The sequence below is a fragment of the Homo sapiens genome, chromosome 16 (genome assembly GCF_000001405.40).
Source record: "Homo sapiens chromosome 16, GRCh38.p14 Primary Assembly".
Lineage (NCBI taxonomy): Eukaryota > Metazoa > Chordata > Mammalia > Primates > Hominidae > Homo > Homo sapiens.
This window is the reverse complement of record NC_000016.10, coordinates 72,941,647-72,957,405: the sequence shown is the minus strand read 5'-3', so window position 1 is coordinate 72,957,405 and position 15,759 is coordinate 72,941,647. Positions and strand designations below refer to the sequence as shown.

Here is a 15,759-nt window from a genome sequence, read left to right as displayed (position 1 = left end):
TCTGTTTTCATGATAGGAGTTTAACCAGGGAGAATGGTGAATAGGGTGAGATAGTCCTGTGGATTCAGTTGACTCTGGTCTTCTCGAGTGGTTTTTGTGTAAACTGGAGTGTCTTACAATCAAGTATTCTCAAGAATCCCTTGAACTGTGTGTGTACATATGGAAGAGTTTATGCATTCAAAAGAGATATGCTTGTACTCTGGCTACGTGGGGCCAGGATTAAAATGTGAGTGTTTCCTCTAGTTTTCTGTTCCCATTCTCTCTTTCTCTGTCTCTTCTTTCAATTTGAAAAATCACTATAATCACCTAAAACTTTGGGGTTTCATCGAATATTTACTGAAACTTACAGGAAACTGTAGCTGAGGCAATCATTTCAATAAGAGGACTAGGGACAGTTACCTCAATGATTTAAGTAGAGACAATCATCTTAATAATAGGAATTCGGAACCACAGTGTACGTTATTCAGATAACTAAAGGCTGATTCTGTGCCGAGCTAGGGAACCATCCAGATAGACTTCTCAAAGTTCTCTGTATATTTATGAGGACCTCAATGAAAGAGATGTTTTTTTTTTTGCTTATTTTTGATGAGTACTTGGTGATTAGAATAGTTGGAAATTAATTGGGAATTAAATTCCCCAGTGGCACTGTTGTGAGGGGTGTGAGAGATGAAAAATGAGTAAGTTGTAAAAATTGTCCATCAAGGAAAGTTAACTTTTAATAGCAGTTAGATCCTGGTTAGCGGAGCCTTCGCTGCCAGGAAGAATGACCTCTGCTTTAGAGAAGCTGATTTGGCTCTGTTCAGGCTCCCAGTCTTACCAATTGGCTTACAATATCTAGAATAGGACCAAGAGTGTAGGATTTGGGTGCTAAAAACTTTGAGTTTTTACGTAGAACGAACCACAGCCACTTTGAGGATAGCTGCTGCTGCCAAAACAATCTACAGATGGGTTTCATGAGAACCTTCTGATAGTTGGGCCACTCGTGCCTCCACCCGGTATGCTTCAAACAGGATCCTGCCTGCGTCCCATCCCGTGACGCTGCTAATGGACTTCGTGGGACCAGTGACAATGGCCTGAATTAAGCAATATGCCATTATTGACATGGGAATAGGTTGTTCTTGGCAACAGAGTGTCAGTGAGGACTTTTTTTCCAGGATGGCTTAGATGACTGCAGGGCCAGGCCTCAGCAGTTGGCAAGTGTTTATTTGTGTGGTGTTTGAGTGCTAATTGTTGCCGATGAGTTATATTTCAAAGCATTCCATTGGTTTTTCTTGCTATGTATTCAGTTTTTAATCCTTAGTACTTTAATCTCATTTTCCATTTTGAAATATTTGCCTGTTGATCCTTTATTACCAAATGATTTGAGGGTATTTGAAACCAACTGGCTAATTGTGGATGCACAAGCACTGGTCGTCTTATTTGTCACCAGGGTGAACCATGCACACCAGGAGATGGGAGTGAGTACTCTAAGGTTTTCTTTAAGCCAGTAGGAATTAGAAGGAGTCATAGAATCTCGGGAGGTAGATCTTGGAGCAAATCAAACATAACGGAGGTGGAATGAAGACAGAACGTGGGAACGTGGGTAGGTTCATGTTGGGTCAAAGTGAGGGTTTTTTTTTTTTTTTTTTTGAGACAGAGTCTCGCTCTGTCACCCAGGCTGGAGTGAGTGGTGCCGTCTCGGCTCACTGCAACATCCACCTCCTGTGTTCAAGCGATTCTCCTGCCAGAGCCTCCCAAGTAGCTGGGATTACAGGCACCCGCCACCATGCCTGGCTAATTTTGTGTTTTTAGTAGAGATGGGGCTTCACCATCTTGGCCAGGCTGGTCTCAAACCCTTGACCTCAGGTGATCTGCCCGCCTTGGCCTCCCAAAGTGCTGGGATTACAGGCATGAGCCACTGTGCCCAGCCTAAAGTGAGGCTTTTTAATTACCTTAAGAACAGGTAACTAAGGCTTGTATTGAGAAGTAGAGAAATATTTCGCTTTCACACCAAGTGTCTGTGAGTCTTTGGGGCATCATGCACTGTCCTGGGCATTGCGGCAGATTCAGAAGGAGCAGAAGAATGAAGCCCTGTGTTGTAGACACACATGGAAGGGCCACACCATATTTCTTAGACTGGAGCTCTTCCTCCCAAAGGATTTATCCAGCTCAGTCACAAAGGGCTCTTGAATTTCCAGTGTCACTACTTGTCGGCCACGGGGAGTCCCTGGAAACCTGTGCCTTCCTTGGGCCGCGAAAACTGCTGAGAAGGTGTGAGAGCCACAAATCCTTTATGCCAGAAGCTCGAGTGGGTGTGGGGGCCATAGGAAGTGTCCAAAAGACTTGGAATTTGAGTTGTATGACCTCAGTAGGAGAAACCAACTTATGCAAATAAAAACAGCCATAACTTTCAGTTCTAGCTGTGGCTGTACTGGTTTTTTTTCCCCATGGTCCATTTATAAGATGGCTGTAGGTGTTATTAGATGTGACTGAGTTCTGCAGGGAGAAAAATGTTTTTGTGAAATACACTCCTCTTTACAAGGTGATTGTTTTCATACTTCCCTTGGCAGAGCCCTCTTTAGTATCATCAAACAGACACTGATTGTGGGGTTGCTTCTTTTCAGAAGCCTTTGAGGAAAGGCTTGGGGCTCCTTCGCCTAGTACAGTCGGATCTGCTGCTCTTTGTAGACAGCACATTAGATTTGAGGCCTTGTGAACATCCTCCCAAACCTTCCTTTCGACTCTGAAGTTTAGCATAGCACCAAGAAAGGGGTTGCTTGTCGGGGTGGCTGTGTGTTTCCCAAGTAGCCAGCCAGCCCCTGGACACCTGCACAAGGTTTAGCAGCTCCCTTCGTCTCCCTTTCATTCCAGAGTGTGCCTTTGAATCCATGCACCTTCCTGAGGATGTGCTGATGGGTGGGCTCACGTGTCAAGGTGTCAGTTCCAGTGTTAGAGTTAGGTGCATACCCAGAGATGGGGACCTGCTCCAAGACCACGTATCCAGTGTGGCTCAAGACTAAGGACCTGCCAAGTTCTTTTTTTCATTTCTTTTTTTTGAGATGGAGTTTCACTCTTGTCGCCCAGGCTGGAGTGCAATAGCGCAGTCTCGGCTCACTGCAGCCCCTGCCTCCCGGGTTCAAGCAATTCTTCTGCCTCTGCCTTCCGAGTAGCTGGGATTACAGGCATGCGCCACCATGCCTAGCTAATTTTTGTGTGTTCAGTAGAGACAGGATTTCACCACATTGGCCAGGCTGGTCTTGAACTCCTGACCTCAGGTGATCTGCCCACCTTGGCCTCCCAAAGTGCTGGGATGACAGGTGTGAGCCACTATGCCCAGCCCCAGTTTCTTATTTATAGGGGCCCTGCTCCTGTTTGTGAACTGGGTGAGATTCCCCCACTTTGTGGCAGCTGGATTAGCGGATTTGTAGGATTCTAAGCCCTGGGCTTGTTTCTCTGAGGCATAGTTCTCGAAGGGAGTTTTCACTTGCCTGTCATCCTCACTCATTTCAGCACTCTGCTGCTTCTGTCCTTTGCATTTCATTTTAACAGCCTAGAATGCTGGCCAGGCATGGTGGCTCATGCCTGTAATCCCAACACTGTGGGAGTCCAAGGATCACTTGAACCTGGGAGTTTGAGACCAGTCTGGGCAACATCTCGACAAAACATTTTTGTTTTAAGATCAGCCAGACGTAGTGGGGTGCACCTGTAGTCCCAGCTACTTGGGAGGCTGAGGCAGGTGGTTCACTTGAGCCTTGGTGGCCCAGACTGCAGTGACCCACTCCAGCCTGGGCAACAGAATGAGACCTTGTCTCTTGAAAAAAAAAGAGCTTAAAGTGGAAACTGGGACTTCGTTCCTCTGCTTATTCCAAGGACTTCTCATTTTCACTCAGGCATCAGCAAGTGACAGCTGAATTTCTCTTTAGAGCGATGTTGATGTGCCGGGGTGAAATCTAAAAAGTGGAGACGATTTGATGCTTCAGGTGGTTGGCATCAGAAACAAATATATGTTTGCTCCTTGTCTTACCCTCCGGGCAGTTTCTGCTTTGACTGAACACTGAGTATGTTTCCTGGATGTTGCCTGGCCTTCGTCCCCGTTAAGGGATGGAGCTTTTAGGCTTTTTTTTTTTTCTTTTTCCTTTCTGTTTTTCTTTCTTATCCTAAAAAGAATGACATAGTTATGGTTCCTCTCACCAGGGGAGATGGGAAGACAGACAACAAGCCGAAAGCTTCCTAAGCCTTCTGGAATGCATGTGCAAAAGATTTCTGTGGCTTGCTAGACTGTCCGTGAGCTTCAAACGCAGCTGCTGGTCTGCTTAGCAGAACCTGTACTGATCTTATCACTCGAGGTGACTTGTGTAGCGTCAATAAGAAAATCATAAAAAAAAGAAAAAAATATTTTCTCTGATGAGCCACTGACTTGGATTCTAATCAGTTGTAAAAAATAAAATAACCTCAGCCCAACCACACATAAAAGGTCAAGTTTAAATTTCACTTGGGGGGTGGGGCAGACCTAATAGCTCAAGTGCACGTGTGTTTAGGAAAGAGAAACTAGACGCCAGTGCCCAGCCTTCTGCTTGACCGTACGCTTCTAGGAACTGGAGGGAAGGCTGCTCTTTTTAAGCCATTCTCCTGGTAGAAATAAGCCCTTGCAGTATTAATTTACCATAGCAAATGTGAGCTTGTACCCGGTTTATGCAGGGCAGTGATGGACTGAAAAAGACCAGGGTGGGAGAGGGAGGAAGAGATCTTCGCCCGGCCCTTTCGTGGAGACGTGGAGCTGAGCCTCGTGTCTCACTGCCTGTCTCAATCCACTTCCTGAACGTGCAGCAGTCCCGCTCTTTTTTCACTCTTGTCTGGCACAGCAAACATTTGGGCGTCTGTGCACTCTGTAGAGGGCCAGCGAGGATAAGACTGGACCCCTGTCCTAGGGAGGTGGTGCCCTGATGGGGATCCCAGCTATGGTGCATCTCTGTAGGTAGGTGACTGAGTGATAAAGGGAAGGTGATTGGTCCTAGGGTAGCCCCACATGTCACCCAGGGCAGAGGATCAGGAAAGAGAACAGGTAGCCCTACTGAGAAGACATGGGAGGGTTGGCAGCATTGACTGACGGGAGGGATATTGACCAGAGGGCAGCAGTGAGGAGTAGAGGGATTACTCTCCAAGTCTTTTTTTGTTTTGTTTTGTTTTTGAGACAGGGTCCTGCTCTGTCACCAGGGCTGAGCTGAGTGGCATGGTCTCAGCTCACTGCAGCCTCTGCCTCTCAGGCTCAAGCCATCCTTCCATCTCAGTCCCTGAGTACTGGAACTACAGGCACACGCCACCATGCCTGGCTAGTTTCTTTTGTATATTTTGTACACCATGTTGCTCAGACTGGTCTTGAGCTCCTAAGCTCAGGTGATCTGCCTGCCTTGGCCTCCTAAAGTGCTTGGATTAGGGGTGTGAGACACCACGTCCAGCCCCACTCCCCAGATCTTTGCTTTAGAGATGCACTATCCAACCCAGGCGCCACTCACCACCATGTAGCTTCCTAAATTTAAATAACATTGAAAATTCAGTTCCGTAGTTGCACTACCCATATTTCAGGTATTTATTAGTCACAGGTAGCCAGTGACTGCTGCACCAGATGACACAGCCATAGATTGTTCTCAAGGTGGCAGAAAGTCATGTTGGTCACTGCCACCTCAGATACATTCTGGGCCCAATTCTGGTTCCCCATGAAGGCTTGGTATGTTACGATTGCAGCTGTGACTCATTTCCAATTTTGGAAGGTCTGCAGTTTGAGATTCTGTTATATCCAGTGAATGATACATATTTCTGTCTTTTCTTGGATCTCAGAGAAGGGATGAATTGAAATATTAAAGAGGTGGCTGGGCGCGGTGGCTCATGCCTGTCATTCTAGCACTTTGGGTGGCCGAGGCAGTTGGATCAGCTGAGGTCAGGAGTTCAACACCAGCCTGACCAACATGATGAAACCCTGTCTCTACTAAAAAAGACAAAAATTAGCTGGCCGTGGTGGTGGGTGCCTGTAATCCCAGCTACTTGGGAGGCTGAGGCAGGAGAATCGCTTGAACCCGGGAGGCAGAGGTTGCCGTGAGCTGAGATTGTGCCACTGCACTCTAGCCTGGGCAACAGGGCAAGACTCCATCTCGGGAAAAAAAAAAAGAAAAGGAAATATTAAAGAGGCTATGGCTCCTAACTTTTCTAGGTGTTCTTTTCCTAAAGAAAGAAAATACAAAACCTGCCAGAAATCTCAGAATGTCCGCAGGAAAGATTGAAACACATCAGGTTGACTGTGTTTGTTTGTTTGCTTGTTTTCCAGCCAGTAGCCCTTTGCAACACTTGAAATGTCATCTTCTCCTTTTGGACCCCAGTTGAGGGTGGCGGAGGGCTGGGGGGTGCCTCAGCTGTGGCCGTGACCATGAGCCTGGTGTCTGACTCTCTCCTTCTCTCCTTCCCTGCAGTGGGCGGTGAGATCCCCCTAGACATGCGGCTCGGGGGCGGGCAGCTGGTGTCAGAGGAGCTGATGAACCTGGGCGAGAGCTTCATCCAGACCAACGACCCGTCGCTGAAGCTCTTCCAGTGCGCCGTCTGCAACAAGTTCACGACGGACAACCTGGACATGCTGGGCCTGCACATGAACGTGGAGCGCAGCCTGTCGGAGGACGAGTGGAAGGCGGTGATGGGGGACTCATACCAGTGCAAGCTCTGCCGCTACAACACCCAGCTCAAGGCCAACTTCCAGCTGCACTGCAAGACAGACAAGCACGTGCAGAAGTACCAGCTGGTGGCCCACATCAAGGAGGGCGGCAAGGCCAACGAGTGGAGGCTCAAGTGTGTGGCCATCGGCAACCCCGTGCACCTCAAGTGCAACGCCTGTGACTACTACACCAACAGCCTGGAGAAGCTGCGGCTGCACACGGTCAACTCCAGGCACGAGGCCAGCCTGAAGTTGTACAAGGTAAGGCCCAGCTCCTTATGGCTCAGGCGCTCTTTCTGAAAGGAGGGGGTTGCGCACCGGGGAGTTAGGGAGCACTGGGGAGGAGTCGGACAGTCTCTGGCATGGCCTGCTTGGCTGTTGGTTGGGAACCTGGAGTTGAGAGGAGAGTCGGCGGTGTCCACTTTGTCACCAGGTGGAAACGTGACAGGTTCAGTGAGTAGCTTGACTAGCTGAAGGTTCTCTTTCTGGGTGCCCAATTTTGGGTCAGGTTTTGTTGACAGCGCCTCTAGGGTTGGTTCTTTTCTTTCTTACATGGGCTCTTTTGCATCCTCTGCTCCTGTGGTTTCCCTCTCTCCTTTAGGCTTTCTGTTCTCCTTTTCCATCTCTTTATTCCTTTTTTTTTTTTTCTATTTCTCCTTTCCCGGATGCTCCTGGGGTGTTTTGTTCCTCCCTTCCTTCTTTCATCCATCCATCATTCCACCAACATATGTACACTGGGTACCTTCTCAATGACAGGTACTGTTCTGGGCATTTGTTCACATCAGTGCATGAATCTGACCAAAAAAAAAAAAAAAAAAGAAAAGAAAATCCCTGCCCTCATAGAGCTTCCATTCTTTTAGCAGGAGATGGGTGAGAAACGATGGATAAATTTTGTAGCAGGCTAGAAGGTGCTAAATGCTGTGGGGAAAATTGGGTCCATGAGGGGCCTCCTTTGTGTGTTTTTTTTTTCTTCCCCGCTCTGTTGCTTCCTGGGTTCTGTGTCCTCTTTCTCTTCCTTATACTTTTTCTTCTTCTTCCTGGGCTTCTCCCATCCTCCCCCTCTTCCTCTGTCTCTTCTCCTCTTCCCTCTTTCCTGTCCATTTATTCTTTCTCTCCCTCCACCCTCCGCTTTCCCCCCAGCCCTTCCCTCTACTCCATAGACGGCAACCGAGGGGGAGGTGCTCCGGATACTGTAAATAGTCCTTTCACTTGCACGGCAGAATTGCTCCAGACGTCTCTATTGATTTTCACTGGACTTAAAGCCTCACCTTTTTCTCTAATCATCCCATAATGGCTTTAGTATGAACAATCAGGTACAAATCGCCATAAATCTCCCTGGCCTGATCCCACACACCTTCCACTCCCTCGCTCTCTCTTTTCATTTTCCTCACTCCCATTATCAGCCTCTCCTCCTGCCTTTCACACTGTTTCTCGCGTCTTTGGGCCCACGAGTGTTTGGTTTCTGCTGGCCCCGAGCTAGTTGAGTCCCTACTCTACTCAGAATGATTTTAAACGGAGATTCCATATAAGGAAGACTTCTAGTCCTTTGCCCATGTCGGCCTCTGCCGGGGTTGATAATTGTACTTCATTTTATAGTTGTTCCTTCTCAGGATGTGGGGAGGCCTGCATAACGTAGTGCTTAAGAAAGCACTTTAGGGAAAGGAGGAGAAAGCAGGAATGAGGTAGAGGGGATAGAATGTTCTGGAACTGACTGTGGACTCAGCTATGGTGCAGTGAGGAAGGTCTGGACACCACGCATCCAATCCCCTTATCTCAAATGAGCAAGAACCTTGCTGGACTGGCTTAGTTTTGCCACCATTAAAAGAAAAAAGCCCTTTGCAGTCAGTTTAAATTGGAGGTCTGAACTGGCCACAGGATGGTGCCGACGTGGTCAAGAAAACCTGATGGAAAAACCAGTGGAAAAAAGAATTTCCAAAGGACCCAACTGAGTAAAATTTGTACAAAGGACTCGGCGTGGCCATTGAAGGTTGCATGCAACTTTGATGAAGGTCGTTTAGAGGTGGCATGAAGCTGGCCTCTTGCATCCAAGGAAAAAATTGCCCTTTAGACTCTAAAATGCACACGGTGGCGATTAACTCTCATGCTGCATCCTCCGTGCGGCTGGAGTCTTGAATAAGAGTCTGTCAGGCACTTGACTTTGCTTCTTACGGGCCTGGAACTCGGCGGATTTGCTGAGAACATCCTGTTTTGGTCCCCAAACTGTGTCCACGGATCACACCCAGAGAGTCAGGGTGAGGTGTGGTTGGAAGAGACGAGGTTTATTTGCATGTTTCTGCACTGCTGGCCTGTCATCCTGGGACTTTTTTCTCATTTCTTTTTTTAAGGTAGAGGAAACTGTTGCTCAAAAAGATGGCGTGGGTAGAAGGGTCCTGAGCGTTGGGATGCAGGGTAGAACGTGGACCCAGCACCTGAAGGAGAGATCCTGAAATGGTGCATCTGGCCGGCACATCCCCGGAGTGACCAGCCTGAGGTTCAGGGCAGAATTGCCTCCGTCAGGAGCCAAAGGTCATTAGTCTAGTCTCATTAGTCCTTGGGTAATGAATGGCCCTGTGCCTGCCCGGGCTTCGCCACAGGGGGCGGGGAGCTCTCCCGCTCACTCCTGGATGACACCGCTGGGATTGTCATTCCAGTGCTCGCCCTCAGCCCTTTGGTCCCTCAGTACGACTAAGATCAAACTTCTCTTGCCACTAAGGAAGGCTCCCTCTCAAGGTTTCGTCATTCCACGGATTTGGGGTGGGGATTGGAGGTGGTTTGAGAGTCACTTTTTCTCTAGGCCCTGGTGTGGCCTGTAGTAAATGGAGATTGATTGCATGTTATTTTTCCTCTTGCTAATGTAATCCATTAGCCCGGCACATGCATAATCAGTTTAGAGCACAGTTAACTGGATGTAATCGAGTTCTTTACTGTCTGCTAGAGAAACCGCTCCAGATGCAGCTGACCCGGGGAGCTGACCGGGCTTCTCACACACAACCCTCCTTCCTCACCCCTTCCCCACCCCACCCTGTCCCGGTTCCCTGGCAAATTATTCATGATCAGCCAGGGCGGCTCTCCAAAGCTGCTCTCCGCGGCACCTAGTGAAGTGGCAGTGATGTATGTGGCTTCCCGGTGGCCCTCCCAGACCTCTCTTTCAGCCGAGGCTTTTATTCTCCTCCTGTTCCTTTTTCATGTTGGAGGAGACAGAGCTGCATTCTCAGGAGATTCAAGCAGTGGCATGGCTTTCGGTGTGTCATCTGACCTCACCCTGGGCCGGAGTCACTGCCCTTGCTGTCACGCATGCTAGTGCGTAGATTGCTGTAAGAGTGAACTTTCTGAAAGCGTGAGATAATTTTTAATCCAGAAATGAGAGAGGGTTGTGCTAATCTACAAAACCTGATGATATTGTCTTCGTTGCCTGGAATGGTGTCGTTTTGATTTTTGTGTGATACTAATGTTTAAATCAGGATTAGGTTCAACCTGTTTTTCTTTTGCACCTCCTGGAAGTAGAGTGGAGTAGGGGAATGCCGCAGGGCCCGAGGCATCCGGGGGAAGCCCCCTTACCTTGTCTCTGGGCCTCAGGTTACTTCTGCAAAGTGCTCCTGATTGAAATCCTTGGGATCTTTTGGGTTGAAACAGTGGCCGGCTCTGGCCTAGCCCCTAATGCTCACATGTCCACGTCCTAACATTTACCGTCTTGGGATCCCCGTGATTGGCTGACATAGCAAGAAGCCCAGAGGCTCCAGTGAAGCTTGGGAACTGGGCTCTTTCTGTCCTTAGTGTCACATCTGAGCCAGCATGGAAAAATGCAGAAGGCACTTGTCTCTCAACTGGGACTGAGCTCCGGGGTCCTTAATTCCTCATCCTTCTGCTTTCACATGTAAATGTATCACTCCTTTCTCAGAGGACTACACCCTGGCCCCACTCTCAATCTTCTCCACCCGTAGAGATGTGGGTGCCCTTGATCCTCAGAACTAGGAGAGCGGCTGTCACTGACACATGCTTGCCCTCTGCCCTCTCCCACGGCTAGTGTACAGCCTGCGTCTGAGGCGTGTGGGTTCAGAGCTGGCACCAGCTCTTCCACGTTTATCTTGCATTCCCAGCCAAGTGACGTCCATGGTGAGCTCTCTGAAATGTGTGCTGCTTTCTACCCGGAGGGGGCGGGGCACAGAAAGGGCAGTTGGAAATCAGTGCACACTCCCACCATCTCCCAGAATCTGTTTTTCACTTTGATGTTTTTCTTCACCTGAGAGTCATTGGAGTGGAAATCTGTCAACTTTAGCAGATAGATTAAGACCCTACCAGAATCTGTTACTCAAAACGGTTTCTAGCTGGGGTTCCTTTGATTGGACCAAGACTGAAGGTTACCTGTTAATCTTAAATACTGTACAAGGAGGGTTGTCTACCACGGTGTTGAGTCTGGGCCACATGTGAGCTGCTGTGGGCCAACAGGGCACACAGGAGAGGAGAAGCCAGTGTCCAAGCCAACTCTGCTTGGCCTGAGGTAGGAGGCAGAGTGTGGTATTGATTCATGCACATGGCCAGATTCTCCACATAGAGGATGTCTGCTCCTGCCATTCTAGGAGGATTGTGCAGTACGGAAGAATGTAAGAAAACTTCCATCAGACTTTGCATTGCTTTAGAACCCATCTTTTCAGTTCTTTCCCTGATGCATAAGAAACTCATTGGGATTCACACTCCCAGCAGGGCTATAAAATCATCGTATGGTAGACGGGCAAATCAGAAAATGTAGGTGAAGTCAGACAATGATCTGGTTTGAAATCTGCATTCTTGGTGCTCCTCTGTGGGTGTGCTGGGGGGAAGTGGGGGTCTTAGGAAGATAGCTACACATTTTACGTCCGTAGGTGGTGCCTGGAGGCCTTTGTCTTGCACTGAGAGCAAAAAGCATACATCCTTTGGGGACCGTCCCCTTCCTCCCTCCCGTCCTGCCTTCCCAGCTTGGCTGTGTGTTTGAAGCTCCGGTGAAAGTGTCATATGGTTTGCGTCGGGATTCTGGAGCCAGTTGCCTCAAACCTTGTTTTCTCATTATTAGACTATTTTTTTTGTTTGTTTTAAGTACATACTTCTGCCACCTTCTCTCCCTACCTTGATGCCTTCAACCAAAAAATGAAAGGAAAGGAATGTTTTCCTGCAGGTGATTTAGAAGGTGTGCAAGGCCAGATGTTTTGGTGAATTTTAGCAGATTTCGCCTGCATGCCCTCCTTCTCCTGGAGCAGCTGGAGGCCTGCGGTTCATTTCCGTGGCTTGATGGTTGGTGCTGGTGGGACGTGGGTCTCTGCAGCTGGGCTGGGAGGCTGCACGTGGGCCTGATGGGTTCTTACTGAGAGCCTGGGCTGACTCTGACAGCTCTTGTGGCCACCAGTTAACTTCAAGAGGACTCCAGGAGATGGAAAGACCAAATAGTTTGGGGGGCAGGGCTTGTGCTAGGACCAAGTTCATCCATCACTGCTGTGGGAACGTATGGCTCATGATTCACCAGTGGTGTGCGGCATGAAAGCTGGGTACCTTGCTGGGAGGTCCCTTGTTCTTTCCTCCTTCCAGAAGCTTCCCACCTATCTTCATCCACATTCGTCCAATAGGTTGTATTTCACACTCTCAGCCGATGGCTTTAGGCACAAGCTTTGTGTGGGTCACTCTGGTTAGAGCATTTTACACACCCTCATGTCAAGAAGATCAGGTCAGTGATATCTTTTCACTCCACTCTTTAGACACCACATAATGGAACTGAAATCTTATTAGTTGTGCCTATTGAAAAAAAAAAGTTTAGTACTTAAAAACCACCTGTTGAAAAACCAGTTTTGCAACCATTAACCATAGCACTTTTATTCTCTTTTTTCTAAATGCTTTTAGTGTTTTTTTTCTCTCTCTCTTTTCTGAGTCCTTTTTGTGGATAGTAAAGAACTGACCAGACCCTTTTAGAATAGTATTGTATTCTTAATTATTTCTTAAAAGGTTAGCATTCCATGTTTACCTCAAGTGTAAGCTAGTAATAAAATGTGGATTCCCTATTTTTTACAGTTAAAGTAATATGAGTAATGCATGTTCACTGTAAAAAAATTTGGAAAAATCCAGGAATAAAAAAGAAAGTAAATATATCTGGTTAATCCTACCATGTGATGGATTTTTATTTTTGCATGTAACATAGGAATTTTACAAAATTGGAATGACGTTGTGTAATACCTGAGACCTTTTTTACATCTTTAAGTATTTTCCAATGATTTTTAAAGTGGATGTCTTTTGTCTACTTTCTGACTTTACTGTCCAGAGGCAAACCCACTGTTACATGTAGTTGATATTTTGTGCTCTTTTCTGTGCTTCTGTAGATGAAAATGCATGTGTGTATGTATCTGTACACACACACATACTGTTCATTTTTAAAAATCTTTATAGACACATGCTGTGGTTTCAATTTTGCTTTATTTTGTTTTTTGAGACAGGGTCTCACTCTGTCGCTCACATGGGAGTGCAGTGGCGTGATCTCGGCTGGCTGCAACGTCTGCCTCCCAGGCTCAAGTGATTCTCCCACCTCAGCCTCCCAAGTTGCTGGGACCACAGGTGCACACCACCACACCCAGCTAATTTTTTGTATTCTTCATAGAGACAGGATTTCGACATTTTGCCTAGGCTGGTCTTGAACCCCTGGGCTCAAGCACGATCCACCCACCTCGGCCTCCCAAAGTGTCAGTTTGTTTTATTCAGGAAAATCTTTTAGGTCAGTAGATATAGATACTTTTAGGTCAGTACATATAGATACTTTTTATGAAAATCATTTTAGGTCAGTACATGTAGATACTCTTTTTAATGTCGACATAGTATTTCCTTTATTAACCAGCTCCTTTTTGATGTACCTTGAGGTTATGTGCAGGGTTTGGATACTGCAGATAATGAGCTAGGAACATGATTCTCTACACACACCATGAAGTGGGGTTGTTGGGTCCCAGGACCTAATGCCAGTAGATGCAGCACTTCCCAGTGGCCTTTCAGAAAGCAGGTGGCCATGTCATCCTTCCCCAGTAAGTGACGGCCAGACTCCCACACAGTGACCAACACCGTGTTGTTGTTTTTCCATTTTCATTGTCAGATTGACAACATTGTTCTAAAGTAAGTCCCTTTTCATTGTTCTAATGTAGATGGGGGAACATTTTTTGTCATGCAGTTTTTTGTTTTTGTTTTCTGTTTTTTTGAGACTGGGTCTCACTCTGTCACCCAGGCTGGAGTGCAGTGGCGTGATCTCAGCTCATTGCAACCTCCGCCTCTGGGTTCAAGTGATTCTCATGCCTCACCCTCCTGAGTAGCTGGAATTACAGGTGCCCACTACCACACCCGCTAATTTTTGTACTTTTAGTAGAGATGGGGTTTTGCCATGGTGGCCAGGCTGGTCTCAAACTCCTGAACTTGGGTGATCCACCCACCTTGGCCTCCTAGAGTGCCGAGATTACAGGTGTGAGCCCCCACGCCTGGCCCTATTTGTGACTTTTCAGGAATATATTTTTTGTATAGTTGTAAGACTATGCAGTGTGATTTAGGACTCTTTATTTTCCTTCAAATTCAATGGCTAGCTGTACAACGATTGCTTAAATAACCAGCCTTTCCTAGCTGGTGTGAAAAGCTGTTTCTCATTCTCCATTCTCTTACGTCTTGCAGAACCTCTTGTGAATGATCCACAGATTTAGGTAAATCAGAACATATTTACGGAATACTGTCTTCGGAGACACTGGGGAACAAGAAGAAGGGATGGAAAGGCCTGGCTCTCTTTCCTGGCATTTGGAGTCTGTGGACCAAACGCCTTCCTCTCACCTTTTCCTATTTCTCTCTGGCATGTTCCCCAAAAGAAAATTTCTTAGATTAGTTTGCCTTCATTGAACTCTCCAGGATGAGAGAGTTTCCAGAAGAAACAGAGTCTGCAAAGAGGAGCTGGGTTTTTAGGGCACCTTAATGGAGACTGTGGATCTCACCATTTATCTTAAAAAAGGGGTCAGGAACAAATTCTGAAAGCCATGGAAATTCCCTTTCCTGAAGTTCTTACGTAAATAGCATATAAATTTCATGACTCTGTCGACATATTTCCAGTATAAACTGTTTTCAGGTACTGGTTACAAGTCTCCTTTTGGATTCCAAAGGTATACCATGGCCCCTGACTTAGGCTGAGCAGCAAGGAGGTCTAATTTCAGAAAGTCTAATAGCTACCACTTTGTCAAAATATTTACGAATCCCCCCGATTCTCTATTTAGAAAGCCCTGGACCTTCTTATGAGAGAGAAACCTCAAACTTCCAGTACCTTCACCTACCCCCCACCCATCCAGAGGAATAAGTCACACCGTGGAATTCTTCGCATAAATGACATCTGCCGTCTTAGGGGTGGTCTGTAACCCTTAGGAGAATTTTGTGCAAATATTCCGTTGCTTCTGCATTCCAGGATAATGCGTTGTGTTACGGTTGTTTTAGGTAAACACACTCTGGCAGGAAAGCCAATATGGCAGGTGCCACATAATGGGGCAAAGGTGTGAACTCAATGTTGAATTCTTTCAACTTGCTGAGGACTTGGACTCAAAGGGCAGATTTGAATACGTCTAGTCCCAACAGGTGTTTCTGGTTTTTTTGTTTTGAAAGGGAAATCATAAGGGAACAATTAGGCATTGTCAGGAACATAGTCAGGAAAAGGCAAGAGTTTTTAAATAATTATATGATCCACCTGAACCATGTACTTTATTCTGTTTTACACATCAGTTGAAACTGTAAATACTAGTAAGTGTAGGGTGGGAAAGGCTGTTACTATGAAAACCATTTCGGTAGTATTGAGTAAGTATATATTTAATACTTAACAGAAATTGATTTTTAGCACTTACAGCAGCCGGGATGTAGAATGAAAGTTAAAATTTTCTAATGGCAGAAAATCTGTCACTCATAGAAATACTGGCGACTGTAGAAACTAGCAACATTAGGGTGGTGACTTGGGATGGTGTTGGCAAATACAGCAAAGAAAACTGTGGAATTCTCAGTGATGTGAATTTCATTCTTTTTCTTTGTATAAAAAGAAATTTATATGACATTAAAAAAAAATAGAAACA

General features: G+C 46.7%; 1 protein-coding gene across 10 annotated transcripts in view, besides 3 other annotated features; it reads left to right on the top strand.

The window, feature by feature from the left end:
• ZFHX3 (zinc finger homeobox 3) overlaps positions 1-15,759 on the top strand; it is a 1,109,046-nt gene that overhangs the window by 934,525 nt on the left and 158,762 nt on the right. For 9 of the 10 annotated variants that reach the window (NM_001386735.1, XM_047434166.1, NM_001164766.2 and 6 more), the window contains one exon: positions 6,441-6,937. In NM_001386735.1, coding sequence (NP_001373664.1) covers positions 6,441-6,937 — 497 coding nt within the window. Of the gene's footprint in view, positions 1-3; positions 227-6,440; positions 6,938-15,759 lie in introns of those variants that run through there. The other variant, XM_047434169.1, reaches the window with a different exon arrangement.
• Positions 8,760-10,405: an enhancer, noted in NCBI's record as "VISTA enhancer hs16". NCBI's record gives its function as "enhancer in: other[6/6]" and the evidence as "EXISTENCE:transgenic organism evidence [ECO:0001131][PMID:17130149]".
• Positions 8,760-10,576: a biological region, named in NCBI's record as "VISTA enhancer hs16".
• Positions 9,377-10,576: an enhancer, noted in NCBI's record as "BRD4-independent group 4 enhancer chr16:72980729-72981928 (GRCh37/hg19 assembly coordinates)". NCBI's record gives its function as "activates an origin of replication core promoter dependent on BRD2, P300/CBP, MED14 and CDK7 cofactors, and independent of BRD4, by STARR-seq in HCT116 cells {active_cell/tissue: HCT116}" and the evidence as "EXISTENCE:reporter gene assay evidence [ECO:0000049][PMID:35650434]".